Source organism: Homo sapiens, chromosome 1 (genome assembly GCF_000001405.40).
Source record: "Homo sapiens chromosome 1, GRCh38.p14 Primary Assembly".
Lineage (NCBI taxonomy): Eukaryota > Metazoa > Chordata > Mammalia > Primates > Hominidae > Homo > Homo sapiens.
The window spans coordinates 88,822,034-88,837,602 of NC_000001.11; the positions used below are offsets into that span (position 1 = coordinate 88,822,034).

Consider the following 15,569-nt stretch of genomic DNA (forward strand, 5'->3'; position numbering starts at 1 on the left):
TTGCTTTGGTATGATTTAGAATTAAAGATAGTATTTTGTTTTTCTTAAACATTTTATGTTTAACCAGTTTCTTAGTTTTCTCCTTCACCTGTAAGTCAAACCCCAATGTTGAAAGACGTGGTTAGCACTATGATTATATGATGAACTTTTTGTTTCCTAATCCATAGCACATTTTCTAATTAAAATAGTCAAATTATGAGTTGGTCTATGATAGTGCATTTCTCAACAATATTCATCCTAGTGAATATTTTGCATTCAAACGACTCATTGCAGAAAACCTCTATAGACCAATACTACTAAAAACGTGTCCATGATGAGACAAGTAGCTTGTGTTAGAGTGTAAAACATCACACTGCTTCCCTCATTAAGAAGCCTTATTGTCAACTGAACTAAATAGTGTATTGGTGATGTAGCTGATCTCTGTAATTCGTGGCCCAGCAGCTAGTTTGTGAACCACACCTTGACTAACACTCACTGCCCAGGACCAAGCAGATTATGAGAAGGCTAGTCAGAATTAGAAGACTATAAACATTGGATTATTTAAGCTTTTTTTTTTTTTTTTTGAGACGGAGTTTCGCTCTTGTCACCCAAGCTGGAGTGCAATGCACAATCTCGGCTCATGGCAACCTCTGCCTCCTGGGTTCAAGCGATTCTCCTGCCTCAGCCTCCTGAGTACATGGAATTACAGGTGCCCGCCACCATGCCCAGCTAATTTTTGTATTTTTAGTATAGATGGAGTTTCACCATGTTGGCCAGGCTGGTCTTAAAACTCCTGACCTCAGGTGACTACCCGCCTCGGCCTCCCAAAGTGCTGGGATTACAGTTGTGAGCCACCGTGCCCAGCCGGTAAGGTTCTAATGATGTTTTCATGATAAGATTGTTTTACCTAATGGATAAAATGTTTCCTGGGCACAGTGGCTCATGCCTGTAACCCCAGCATTTGGGGAGGCCAAGGTGGGAGGATTGCTTCAGTCTAGGAGTTTGAGACCCGCCTGGGCAACATAGTGATATTCTGTCTCTACAAAAAAATAACAAAAATCAGCCAGGAGTGATGACATCTGCCTGTATCCCAGCTACTCAGGAGGCTGAGGTGGGGGAATTCCTTGAGCCTGGGAGGTCAAGGCTGCAGTGAGCCGTGATTATGCCACTGCACTCCACTTAGACAACAGAGTGAGTACCTTGTCTCACAAAAATAAAAAATAAATTGAAAAAAATGGATAAAATATTGTCAGTTTGCCTAATTTGTAAACAATTAGTATGGATGGATAGCTTTCTCTTATTCTTTCAGAAGATGAAACCTGCCCTCTGATGCCTTATTAATACTGTTAACTTTACAATTCTTTCTTATGGATGGTATATAAGCAAACTTTAAAACTGGATTAAGTTGGCCAGGTGCAGTGGCTCATACCTGTAATCCCAGCACTTTTGGAGGCCGAGGCAGGTGGATCACCTGAGGTCAGGAGTTCAAGACCAGCCTGGCCAACATGGTGAAAACCCATCTCTACTGCAAATAAAAAAAAATTAGCCAGGCTTGGTGGTGGGCACCTGTAGTCCCAGCTACTTGGGAGGCTGAGGCACGAGAATTGCTTGAACCTGGAAAGTGGATGTTGCAGTGAGCCAAGATCACACCAGTGCTCTCCAGCCTGGGTGACAGAGTGAGACTCTGTCTTAAAAAAAAAAAAAAAAAAAAAAAAAGGCTGGGTGTGGTGGCTTACGCCTGTAATTCCAGCACTTTGGAAGGCTGAGGCCAGCGGATCACGAGGTCAGAAGTTCAAGACCAGCCTGGCCAAAATAGTGAAACCGCCTCTCTAATAAAAATACAAAAGTTAGCCGGGTGTAGTGGCACGCGACTGTAGTCCCAGCTACTCGGGAGGCTGAGGCAGGAGAATCGCTTGTACCCGGGAGGCAGAGGTTGCAGTGAGCTGAGACCACGCCATTGCACTCCAGCCTGGGTGACAAAGTGAGACTCTGTCTCAAAAAAAAAAAAAAAAAGGATTAAATTAGATTATCACAAATAACAAATTAAATACATTTTTCCTTTTTTATGTAACAGGAGAAGAATTTCTCATGAGCTACCTTATATAGAGTAATAAACTTACCAAAAGGAAGAAAACTGAATGTTTGTGTTATAGTATTTAAATCTCAAATCATAACTTGGAAATCCCATTTTTAATAAAGAGAAAACACAGTTCCAATTGCAATTATTTTTTTAACTGTATAACCTACTGATTTCTTTGATTTTTTTTTTTCATGCTGTATCTTTTTATCCTGAACAGAGATTTGAAATTGGATAACTTATTGCTAGATACAGAGGGCTTTGTGAAAATTGCTGATTTTGGTCTTTGCAAAGAAGGTAATCGAATGTTTTTAAGTTTCTTTTCTGATTCAGAATTACTGTTTCTTTGTGCATCAGTAGTTTTCAAGTTTGTCTATGGAAAACAAACTGTACTTTTAACTTTATTCTTCATTAAGACATTGTAGATACAATGAAAACATTGCTTATATAACCTAATTATCACATTAAGAATTTGTTCTCTGAATACAAATAAGGTTAGATGTATAGAAATCATAGTAAGCTTCTCTGTGTGATTAATAATTTTGTCACTACTTTAAGGAAGTATTGATTAAGCACCAAAATCGTTTATTCTGGTGAGACTGTACACAGTGAATTTCATAGGCCTGATAATTTCCTTCCAGCTTCTTAAAGTTGAAACATTTAAAAATAGAAAATAAATAGAGATAGGTATCTCATGTATGTTTTTTGTATATTCAAAAGTAAATAAGTAAATTGGGGAAATTTGAATCAGAGGTAACATAAGAAAGGATAAAGATCATGGGCTTAGGCACTAAACAGTTCTAGGTTTGAATCGTGGCTTTGCCACTATTTGCTGTTTGTCTTTGGAAAACTTAGTTTTAACCTCTTTGAGTCTTATTTCCCCAATTATAAAAAAATGGACATAGTTCTTTCTGTTTACTAGTTACTAACATTCTCTATCTCCCTCTGCACTGGTGGCTTCTGTTTGCTATTTAGCTTTGTTTCCATAGTGCATAACACAGTGCATGGTACATCTTAAGTATTCAGTAAGTGTTTGATTAATAAGTAGTTGGATGAATAAATGAATGAACTCTGTAGATATATGCCCATCACATACCCACTGACCTAATTGCTGAATCAAGTAAGTTTTTTCTTGACTGGGCTTCTTTTTATTGGACACTGTTCCTCTAAATGCTTTTGTTTCTCAGCATCTCTCCTTAGCCGGCTGCTCTTCACTGCAATTTTTTGACTAGCAGCTATATCCTAATGACTCCCAAATCTATTATTTCCTTTCCTATGGATTCCAAAGATATATATTCAACTGTCTACTAGACAGCTCTGCCTGAATAGTGAAGAGACACCTCAAACACTACCCAAACAAAAATCATTTATTTTCCGCCGGTAGTCTGGGTGTTGGTATCACAATCCCCTCAGCCTTCAATCTGAAAGTAAGGAATTATCTTGCGTTCTATCCTGTTCTCTACTTCCCGTATGTAGTTATTCACAAAATTCTACTGCCACTTAACCTCCTGAATATTTCTGAAATCTATCATTTCCAGTCAGCTCCTTTCACCCATTATCTTGTTTTGACAAGACAGGTATAATAATCTCCTAATTGTTCCTATTTCTAGTCTTTTTCTATCCCAAATCAACCTGCCATGTAATTGCTGAATTGCTTAAGGAGTCCATATAAATACAGATCGGACCATGGCACATACCTGCTGAAAACTCTTCAGTGGCTAGGATAAGGTGACATACAGTGCCGTTACTGATCTGCCTGCCTTCCTCTCTGGCCACATCTCTTGCTGCTCTCTGTTTAGTACTTTTTGCTGCAGCAACAATGAACTGCTTATAGTCTGTGTCCCTCTAGCACTGTCACCCATCCCAACTCTATTTGCTGACTAACATCTGCTCATCCTTGTCATTCAACTCAAGTGTAACCTCTACAGGCAAGTTACCAGAGATTCCCTTTTACTACCCCAACTCCCAAGTCTGCTTTAGGAGCCCTTCTTCACTATTCTACCTTATCTTGCTCTTCCCTTGTTGTTATAAAATTATCAATAAATATCCATTTCCCTCCAGTCTCCTGTAAGCCCCTTAAAGACTGTGTCTTACTCTCGTTTTTATGTTCCCGCTACTTGACACAGGTGCCTAGAACATAAAAGGTGCAGAAAATATGTGTGTTGAATAACCAGACTTATTAATGCATTATCATAAAAACATGTTTAGTAGATTATATAGCTAACAACTTTTGAGTGCTTACCGTGTGCCAAGAATTTTGCTTCATATGCATATCTCCTGTAATTTATAACAATCGTATGAAGGTAGATAGTTTTTTTGGAGGAAATATTTTATTTTTTATTTTATTTTTATTTATATAAATTTATAGGGTAGAAGTGCAATTTTGTTACATGCATAAATTGCATAGTGGTGAAATCAAGGCTTTTAGGATATTCGTCACCCAAATAACATACATTGTACCTATTAAGTAATTTCTCATCATCCACCCCCCTTCCACCTCCTCACCCTTCTGAGTCTTCCTTGTCTTATCATTCCACACTGGTAGATGGTATTATTAACTCTCATATACAGATGAAGAAACCTAGAATTTGATGTTAGACAACTTTCCCAACCTCCCACAGTTAACAAATGACAGAACTGGAACTTAAACCAGGTATTTATTAATCTAGAGCCTGATATTAACCACTTCCATGGAGTTTTACCAGTCTACAAGAAACATAAGTTATATTTCTTCATTAATTAACTTTTTCCTAGTTTTCTCCAAGTTACTAAAAGGCTGGTGCAGAACTTACATAGATATTAATACTATATCACTGTTTTTTTAAATAATATTTTATTGAAGAAAATAAAAATCATTATGATAGTGTTAAAGAAATTTTGCCAAAAAAAAATTTCTCCACTCCAGTGTGCTAATGTATCTAATTGTGCCCTTCAGGTCTTGGTTCATAGACACACATTCATTTCTATTTTATAGTCACTATATATGCATACCTAATTATTCTTAATTTAGGATTGAGAGCTTTTCTTTAAAATTCTTAAAAAGATGACACTTATGACAAGTTTTTAACACTTTGGAATACATAGAGATAATATCTTCAATATGTAGACTATATATTTGATTAACATATTAATAAATTATGAGGAACATATATTTAAAAACTAGTTAGCCAAAATGTTAATACAGGCTGAGTATCCCTTATCCAAAATGCTTAGAATGAGAAATGTTTTGAATTTCAGATTTATTTGGATTTTGGAATATTTGCATATATAAATAATGACATATCTTGAGGCCAAGACCCAAGTCTAAACACAAAATTTATATATGTTTCATATATACCTTATACATAGCCTGAAGGTAAATTTATATAATATTTTTAATAATTTTGTGCATGAAACTAATCTTAAGTACTTGCGGAATTCTCTATGGCATCATGTTGGTGCCCAAAAAGTTTCAGATTTTGAAGCATTTTAGATTTTGGATTTTTGGATTAGGGATGTTCAACCTGTACTCTCCCTTCCCTCCCCTTCCCTTCCCTTCCCTTCCCTTCCCTCCCCTCTTCTCCCCTCCCCTCCCGTCCCCTCCTCTCTCTCTCTCTATATATAATATATATTGAGATATATATATGTTTTTTGTTTGTTTGTTTTTTGAGACAGAGTTTTGCTCTTGTCACCCAGGCTGGAGTGCAATGACACAATCTCAGCTCACTGCAGCCTCCGTCTCCCAAGTTCAAGCAGTTCTCCTGCCTCAACCTCCCGAGTAGCTGAGATTACAGGCGGGAGCCACCATGCCCGGCTAATTTTTGTTTTTGTTTTTTTTGTAGAGACGGGTTTCATCATGTTGGCCAGGCTGGTCTTGAACTCCTGACCTCAGGTGATCCACCCGCCTCGGCCTCCCAAAGTGCCGTGATTACAAGCATGAGCCACTGCACACGGCCCTATCTCTCTGTATTATATGACACATTTGGTCAGCTTCTGATTATCCAAGGGTTTGCTTTTTGGTATTTTTGAAACTTATTTTTTTTAGAATGTTGATTTTATAATGAAGTAAATAAACTTATTTAAGATTGAATTGGAAAGATAATGGAACTTCACAATCAGTTCATTTTGTTATAATTTCTTAGCTCCCTTGTAATGACAAGAAGAAAAAGTAACTGAAAAGAAACATGGATATCTTATTTCTATTTACCCATTAATTAGACAGTATAGTTGCTATTGCAGTTTTTGCTATACCAGTCCTTACTGTTTTCTTGAAATGTCTTAGATATGTCTGAATTTGTTCACCATGCACAAATGTGCAACTTTAATTTTGCCTCCCAAAGATAGCTTTGATTTTTTTTTTATGCTAGATTTGTTTTCTTTGCTAACAAATGTTTACATTTTATCTTTTCCAGGAATGGGATATGGAGATAGAACAAGCACATTTTGTGGCACTCCTGAATTTCTTGCCCCAGAAGTATTAACAGAAACTTCTTATACAAGGGCTGTAGATTGGTGGGGCCTTGGCGTGCTTATATATGAAATGCTTGTTGGTGAGGTAAGCAGTGTGAAATAGGTAAGAGAACAGAGGAAGGATGATTGAAATAATAAAGCATGTCATTTATAAAACCACCTAATACTGTCTTCAGTATGAGTGGAATTTAAGTTTTATAAATATTTATAGTATACTAGTAGTCAGCTATCTTTCTGTAATACCTTCAATAAAGATTTTTATGTGGTTTGTGGAATGCACTATCAGTGCTTTGAAAATAGTTCCTTGTATTTCAGTATTGTACTTTTATTATGTTTTCTGATTTTAAGACATAGTCATTTTATAGGGAATGGAATAACAGAAAGACTAATAAAAGGAATGTACTCTGTACCTGTAAAGAAAAGCCCACTATAGATTGGTCAGAAATAAATGTTACCTTCGACTTCCTCCAGACTTCCGTCTGAGCAACACACTCTGCATCCTTGCTTCACCGGGAAACTACTGAAGTTCCTGGGGAAGCAAAGTAGAATTTCGTAAGAACAAAATGGATGGAGAGAGGAGAAAACCTATGGTAGCTGTGAAGGCCCTGATGCCATGTATGTCAAATTGATATCATCCGATGGCCATGAATTTATTGTAAAAACAGAACGTACATTAACATCAGCACGATAAAAGCCATGTTGAGTGGCCCAGGTCAATTTGCTGAGAATGAAACCAATGAGGTCAATTTGAGAGAGATACCTTCACATGTGCTATCAAAAGTATTCGCTACACCAACAGCTCCACCGAGATTCCTGAATTCCCAGTTGCACCTGAAGTTGCTATAGAACTGCTGATGGCTGTGAACTTCCTAGATTGTTAAATAAAATATAATTTTAAAAAAATGAAAGAAGTGTTACCTTAAAAAATGGTAGAGTTGAAAAAATTCGCATTTTTTCCTACTGTTTTCTGTAGATTAACTTAAATTTCTGAGGATAATTGAGTTGTACATAGAAATTATTACTATTAGGAAACAGTGAGTTATGTTAAGGCAATAATAGGAGACTAATAATTTATTATGTTATAAATTGTTAGAAATGTTGAATTGGGATGAAATTGGGAAAGAGTAAATCTTTTAATAAGTAATTGAAGATTACTTGAAGGGACTTGAACTGGAGATGCAAGAAAAATTATTTTAAGGGATTGGTTCATTATTCTGCAGTTTCCCCATGCCAGCAACCTCCCTTGTACACTTGTAAGTTTGAAGAAGTTAGTGCTGAATGAACAAATTATCAAATTGAATATCAGAAATTTCTAAAGTTTTGTTCTATGCTTGTCATTTATTGGCACTTACCCCAAACAAATGGTTTTAGTTTCGCCGGATGGATAACCCCTTTTGGTATGTCAATTTGAAGTGGATTCCTTGGAAAAGGAGGAGAAGTATGGCTAATTAAAATTTATCATGTGCTAAGCACTGTACTGTATGCCTTAAATATTAGTTCATTTAATTTTGCAACAGCCTTTAATAAGCTCAGTACTGATCTTCTGCCCATTTTCGGAGGTGTAAATAGAGACACAAAGAGATTAATGACTTGCTTAAAGTCACACAGCTCTCATATGGTGGAGCTGGAATTTTAACCTTGTCACTCTGGCTCCAGAGCATATCTAAAGCATTATGCTTTGCTGCTCCAGGACAGGATCTTCAATTCATCCAGCCTTGTTTCTGTTCTTAAGACTAGTGGTCCAGATCTGAATTTTTCACCTCTATTTAGAAAAGCTGTTGTGCAGTGTTTAGGTTGGAAAGATTTATTTTAGCTCCAGTCCACAGTGGCTTTTACTTTCTGAGAGTGCCAGAAGTTCTCATAAAATAGTTAATCTGCTGTAAGCTCTGGCATACTTGAACTCCTCCCCACCCCCTTCCTTTATTTTAACAGTAACATTTTGGAGGGTTTTTTTGGTTTTGTTTCATGTAGTATTCAAGTAAGTATGAGATTTATGAGATTCAATTATGTGCTTGCTTAAAATTTACTCTCCATATTAGAGATGACATGTGCAAAATATGAGTTTATTACAAAATACTGTAGAATTAATCCAGTTGAATCTACTCCCTCCTATTATAAAGCCACTGGAGGGTTTGGCAGAAAACAAGGAAGCTCCTGTTTCATGTTTTTTAAAAGAGCTAATTGATTGAGCTCTTAATTACCTAGAAGATAAAAGACAGTGGATCTGGCTATTTCTTCACAGTTGTTTCTTGCAATTTCTCTTTAGTATCTCCACAAGAGGGTAGCTGGGAAAAGAACTAAACTTAAAACTCATCAGTCTACTTCATAATTTTATAGCATTAGTGAAATGCTAGTGATAACTCCTTTTTAACTATGATGAAAGTAAGGTGTGGCTAAAGTTTATGTCAGATTTCTCTATTATTACAAATAATTGTAAACTCACCGGATATATTATACATGTTCAGATTTGTATACTTCTACTAGTTTTGATTACTGGAAAGACTCCAGGAATAAACAAACATCGCAAGTCCCCTTTTTCCTGTCTCAGATGGGAGTGAAGATACCAGAGAGATTGAACAGAATGCTGGACATGGTTTTAGATACTGTCAGTGTTGACATCTGAACAGACTATTGGTTTCCTTTAAATGTGCTGAAAACACATTTGTTAGCTTTCAGTTGTTAGCCCTGTTTGCTTACAATCTATTTGCAGAAAAAAGATACTACATATTTTAACAAATGTATAGATATTTCTTTGCTGTTCAGACTTGTAGAATGAGTTTTCAAGTAAAAATTGTTCAAGCAGAAGACCAAAGTGCTGTCTTTGTATTATCCATTGAAATTCCCATTGAGAATCCTAGTAAAATAAAATTTTCTTCTGACTTACTGTTTCAGTCCCCAGAAGAAATTAGATTGTCCATGTAGTACATTTGATTTATGTATTTTGAGTGTACTACATTGTCCCACGTAGTATATTTTATTTATGTATTTTGAGTGAGTGAATGAACAAACTAAGGTTTTGGTAACTGTAAGCTTTGAAATTTTCTTAGCTGTGAGCAAGATTAGAAGCTCAGCCTTAAGAAGTTGGATTCTGAATTTATTTTCACAGATTCTTAAAGATTGCTCACTTTCCCTGGATATTGCTTTCTGCTTATTATTCTTTAAAACTTAATTGGAAGCAAGCAGCCAAATCAAATCTAACGAGGCTAAGTAAGCCTATATTTCTTCAATAGCCAGTGAGAAAATAAGGTTCAAGATACTAATTCATTTCAGTGATTTTAAGGAATTAAATGATATTTAGACATTTGTTTCCTGATTTAAAAAATGACTGAGTGATTTTTAAGCCATCTGAAATTCTGAGGCAGGCAGTCACATTTGATAGACACGTTTTTAGCATAGTTGAAAGTTTCTCTCTTTGTGAATCAAATTGTCATACTGAATATAATGTAACTACTTTTTTATGTCTCAGGGTCATTATGAAAAATGATTTTAATACTGAGCTTATGGAAATGCCCTAAAACTTTTTGTGTTTAGAACATTAAAAATGCCTGGCAATGTGTGCTTTTTGGGTTCCTTTCAGTCTAATTTTGTTGGCAGCTGCTTCTTAATACAGTCATTATGCTTGCTAATCCATGATTGTGTTTTACCACCATTAATTTACTGTTGACTTTAAAATCCAAAGCACATTTATATCTGATGTATTTCCGCAGATTGCCTTCCTTTATTATAACATTTATTACCATATTAACCTTATCCATTTTCTTCTGTTTTTCCACAAGATTGAGGTTCTTCAGGATTTATCTATTATCTAAATATTCCCTACTGTCTGTTAGACACTAAAAATTGACTGTCTGGCCAAATAGGTGATTGAGTGAATGAAATAAAATGGAATGGAGTGGAATGAAATTAAATGAAAAGTCATATCATATATGAGATAGACAAGTTTTTTATAAGGGTCTATAAAATTTAAAGATTTCAGAAAGAGTATATGGTGTATTCCCTCTGTAATAGATACATATCTGTTGTCACTTCTTATAGTTCTTTTGTTGTTGTTTTGGTAGGCATGGGTTTATTGTTGTTGTTGTTGTTGTTGTTGTTTTGTCTGTTTTTTCTTTTTCACTGCCTGGATCTTGGTTGTACTTTGAATGGGTGATAAGATTTTACTGCCTTAAAACTTGCTTTAACTTACTCAAAGGTATTTCTTCTAGTCTCCCTTTCCTGGTGATGATGAAGAGGAAGTTTTTGACAGTATTGTAAATGATGAAGTAAGGTATCCAAGGTTCTTATCTACAGAAGCCATTTCTATAATGAGAAGGGTAAGAATTAAAATAAGGATAAGAATTTTTTAAAGACTACTTTAATTTTTTATACTAAAGAAAATTTCCCAGTAGAACTTTAAAAGCTGTTTTTCAGTTCATAAATGTTGCATGGCTTAGACAAAAAAAGACAAAATATATCTAAGTTTTTTAAAGTAATAATCCTTATCAGTGAATTTTATTCTATTGGTTTTATTTTAACTTTTTTATTTTACATTATGCTAGCTGTTAAGAAGAAATCCTGAACGGCGCCTTGGGGCTAGCGAGAAAGATGCAGAGGATGTAAAAAAGCACCCATTTTTCCGGGTAAGTGTGACTATTTAAAATTTTTTATGAAACTAGAGCGATTAGATTTAACAAACTAAACTAGTCATTTTTTATTTTATGATCCAGCTAATTGATTGGAGCGCTCTGATGGACAAAAAAGTAAAGCCACCATTTATACCTACCATAAGAGGACGAGAAGATGTTAGTAATTTTGATGATGAATTTACCTCAGAAGCACCTATTCTGACTCCACCTCGAGAACCAAGGATACTTTCGGAAGAGGAGCAGGAAATGTTCAGAGATTTTGACTACATTGCTGATTGGTGTTAAGTTGCTAGACACTGCGAAACCAAGCTGACTCACAAGAAGACCTCTTAAAAATAGCAACCCTTCATTTGCTCTCTGTGCCACCAATAGCTTCTGAGTTTTTTGTTGTTGTTGTTTTTATTGAAACACGTGAAGATTTGTTTAAAAGTACCATTCTAATACTTCTTCAAAAGTGGCTCCTCATTGTACTTCAGCGTAAATATGAGCACTGGAAACAGTTTCATGGAGTTTAAGTTGAGTGAACATCGGCCATGAAAATCCATCACGAATACTTTTGGATCAATAGTCTATTTTTAAAAAGAAAGAAAAAAACCACTTTTTTATAGTCCCTAGCTTTGCCATATGCCCGCCTTAAGTGGAAGGAAAGTTAATCACTTAACTATGTTTTATAAAAAGAAAAAAGGGCTTGGAATGCTATTACTGTTCACACAAAGTATGATTCTGTTTGAATAAGGCAAATGCTCCTTTTTTTAAAAAAAAAGACATTACTGTAATATCAAAAACCGTGGCAGTTTGTATACAACTCGGGGCTTGATTTTTTTTAAAAAAACAGAATGAATTGATGTCTTATTTTATAAATGTTCTATATTTATTAGGAGAAAACTTTATATTGCCTTTTTTATCAATCATGTAACAGGCTTATAGCTTTCCAACAGAGCTGCTTGCCAAACAATTTTTTTTGTTTATTAAACAGTGCTGAAACAAACAGGATCAGCATTTACTTAAGATGTTAAGAATGAGGACTTTTAATCAGCCGAACCAAGATATTGTTACCTGTATGCATTCCCAAAGTCTAGATGCTCAGTATGTTCAGTCATATCTTTCAGAATCAGTGAACCGATTACCCTTTTTTTGGTATTCACTCTACATCTGCCAACCTAGTTCACCTTGGTTTTGTGTCTGCTGTAGAAGGGAACCATAACTTGGTTAAACCGTAGGGATTATCATTGTATACATGCTGTGAACATGTATATGTGCAAGTTTTAATGTATTCTATGTTGTAGGCTTATTATTTAATTTTACCACTTCATCACTTTTGTACAGTGGCCAAGCAGACACCTCAAACTCCAGCATTTACATTAAGTGCATTTGTACATTTTAGGCCACTGGATCCAGATTTTATATTGGCAGTTATTGAGGGCAAAAGCAATATATTGTAACAGAATGTATAAATATTTTTGATAAAACAGTCTATATTTTATTAAAAAATGAATTATAACACTAAAGCTGTACCTCAAAAGTCTCAAAAATAATTTGATGAAATATTTTATACAACTCTTCAAAGGATCCGTCTGTGGCTTTTTATACTCTTTTAGGGTTGTCTTTTTACAAACCATGACTTTCCACTTGCCTGTAGTTTTTTGTTTGTTTTGGTTTGGTTTGATTTTATATTTTTTTCTCCTAATCTATGACTTTATTGTTTTTTCTTAGTTTAGTAATAGCATCTTTGATCCTGTGCTTAGCATGTTAGGGTCATTATACCTCAGGAATAGCAAGCTGTTAAGTAACCATACTGAATTAACTATTTAATTACAGTGAGCTCATCTCTTAAAAATTGTTCAGGTGTAAATCTTATGAGAAACATGAAAAAGCACACTGATTTATGGAGAGTTGAGCTAAAAACATTTATAAATATTTGCTGGGATGTTTTAGCATCTTTTCATTGTACTCTGAGAACAATTAAAATTGTCCAGAGATCATTTATATTACCTTCCAAATTGTTTATTACCCAAGATCCTTTGGGAGAAAATCTTATAGAATGGGGGAACAATATGTGGTTTAAAGTTATTTTAAAATGCCAGTTAATTTCCTCGGCAAAGGACAATAGAGGAACTTAGCTTAATTGTCTGGCTTTAATTTAAACTGTGTTAATACAACATTAAAATAAAACACTAAATACTTTTGAGGTACAGTCTGCTCACTTTTTTGGTTCTCAAATAGCAAAGAAAGTAATGTCTAAAATAGGCTCTTAGCATTAAAAACTGACAGCATTTCGTAACTACACAGTGTACAGAATTTTTTTTTAATTGAAGTCAATCACTAAAAAAATTAGAAGGCAGGGTCTATTTACACAATTAAGCTGAAGAAAGCACTAATTTTTTGTAGTTTAAAATATATATATATTTTAGTCAGATTTAAAATTTTAAGCTTTATAGAGTGTAAATATATTTTGCTATTACTGTATGTGTATGTGACTGCTCAAGCACTTTGTAAAGAAATTAGGATATTTTAGAATGGTACACTATGCATTCAAATGAAATGTGCCTTTCACTATGTCATTCTAAGAAAACAAGTGTTTTTTGCAGTCATAAATTATCACAAATGCACAAATTAAAGTCTATATAGATTGAAATTTGTAACTTTGGTTTTAAGTATTCTTTCCTTTTAGAAACTTCCTAATGATTAAAATATACTTTAACTTTTCTGTGTTCAAAATCTCAAAGACTAATTAACTTTAATAAACATTCTTGCAAGTACTTTTTGTCCTAGTGAAGGCTTAAAACCATGAACATTCAGAGCAAACTGTCCACTTCATTGGGAATAATGGGAAAAGTTTGTATTCTGCTCCTGTAAGGTCAGTAGCATCTTTTATTTGAAGCATATTTATGGACTGCTTACTGTGTATAGATACTGAGAATAGGAAGTTTTTTTTTTTAAAGCAACAAAATGTTGATGAATGAAGAACAGCCTGTTTTAATTAAGATGCAAGCACCAGTATTGTATGTACTTTTCTCTTGTTTGAGGTTAGCTTATTTTAATTTAGGACCTGGCTTCTCAAAAAGGCAAATGAATAAAACAGAATACTAGTATTTTATAGTAATCTTACTTAAAAATTACAAATGGAATATTTTAGAAATATAAAATGATCCATGCTCTCCCTGTAACACAAATTGAGGACATAATGGAAATTGCAATCATATATTGACTTGGTAAATCTGCTGTACAGATTCAAGTCTAACAAGATTTTTGCAAGTACTGCCAGTATTCCCAAAGCCACTGAAGGAGTAAGTATGAAAAATCCAAAGAAGCAAATACTAATCCACAGATCATAACCTTAATTTAAATTTAGAATTCTTATTTACCTTCCAGCCATCTTTTGAGGTCTAGGGTTTTTCTGAGATACTGGCTTTATACATTAGTATGATGGGTAGAGGCTTTAAAGTTATTAAAAATAATATGTATACATATACATATAAAATTAGTGGAAGACCGTCAATAAGATACGTAATTTGAGGTATTGATGATCTCAATAAAGGTAAGAGTGGTCTCTGGCAACCCTTCACCCCAAAACAAGCAAACAAACTTGAGCAGAGTCTGGACAAGTTAGGGCTTCAGCACCTAAGAGTTAGAGTGGGAGTGCTCAAGCACAAAAGTAGGAATATTGAGAGAACTGGAAGCTGAGTCTACAGAGTATGGCAGAGTAGCAGGAAGTTGGAAAAGATAGGAGTCACAATGGCAAGGAGCAGGTTTTGAAAATGCAGGCACCCAAGAGAAGTGGGGTTACCAAGGATAGATTTCTCTAGCAACACAATTTTGAGGATAGCAAACCTTGCAATAGCATCAGGACTTATCTTCTGTGCTTAAATCCTGTAGACGAGTTCATATTTTAGTTTGCATGTCACTCTTTCCCTGACAGTGGAAGGAAATATTCTCTGGATGGAAGCTTCTCCAGGTTGGGACTATCAGATTCCACAGATTAAGATCAAGTAATTCACTGTCAGAAATCCCTAACCACATGCGAGAGACAGCAAGTTACCTTGAATAAGAACCAACAGAAATATTAAATTTAGATATCCCTGTCAGAGATTTCGTACATTAGAATTATCAGCCAGGCACAATGACTCATGCCTGTAATTCCAACACTTTGGGAGGCCAAGGCAGGAGGATTGCTTGAGGTTAGGAGTTTGAGACTAGCCTGGGTAACACAGCGGGACTGCCTCTCTACAAAAAAAAAAAAAAAAAAAAAAAAAAACATATAAAAATTAGTCAGGTATGGTGGTGTGCACCTGTAGTCCCAGCTACTTTGGAGGCTGAAGTCAGAGGATTGCTTGAGCCCAGGAGGTCAAGGCTACAGTGAGCTGTTATGCCACTGCATTGTATTTAGCCTGGGTGACAGAGCAAGTCCCCAACTTAAAAAAAAAAGAATTACCAGATAC

At 35.0% G+C, this 15,569-nt stretch overlaps 1 protein-coding gene and 1 pseudogene across 7 annotated transcripts in view; both read left to right on the forward strand.

Moving 5' to 3' along the window:
- PKN2 (protein kinase N2) overlaps positions 1-14,222 on the forward strand; it is a 151,983-nt gene extending 137,761 nt beyond the window's left edge. For all 7 annotated transcript variants that reach the window (XM_047425224.1, NM_006256.4, NM_001320707.2 and 4 more), the window contains 5 exons: positions 2,277-2,353; positions 6,448-6,590; positions 10,711-10,818; positions 11,044-11,124; positions 11,212-14,222. In XM_047425224.1, the coding sequence (XP_047281180.1) occupies positions 2,277-2,353; positions 6,448-6,590; positions 10,711-10,818; positions 11,044-11,124; positions 11,212-11,415 (613 nt within the window). In that variant the 3' untranslated portion in view covers positions 11,416-14,222. The remainder of the gene's footprint in view (positions 1-2,276; positions 2,354-6,447; positions 6,591-10,710; positions 10,819-11,043; positions 11,125-11,211) is intronic.
- On the forward strand, positions 6,986-7,410 carry ELOCP19 (elongin C pseudogene 19; annotated as a pseudogene).
- Positions 14,223-15,569: the final 1,347 nt, after the last annotated feature.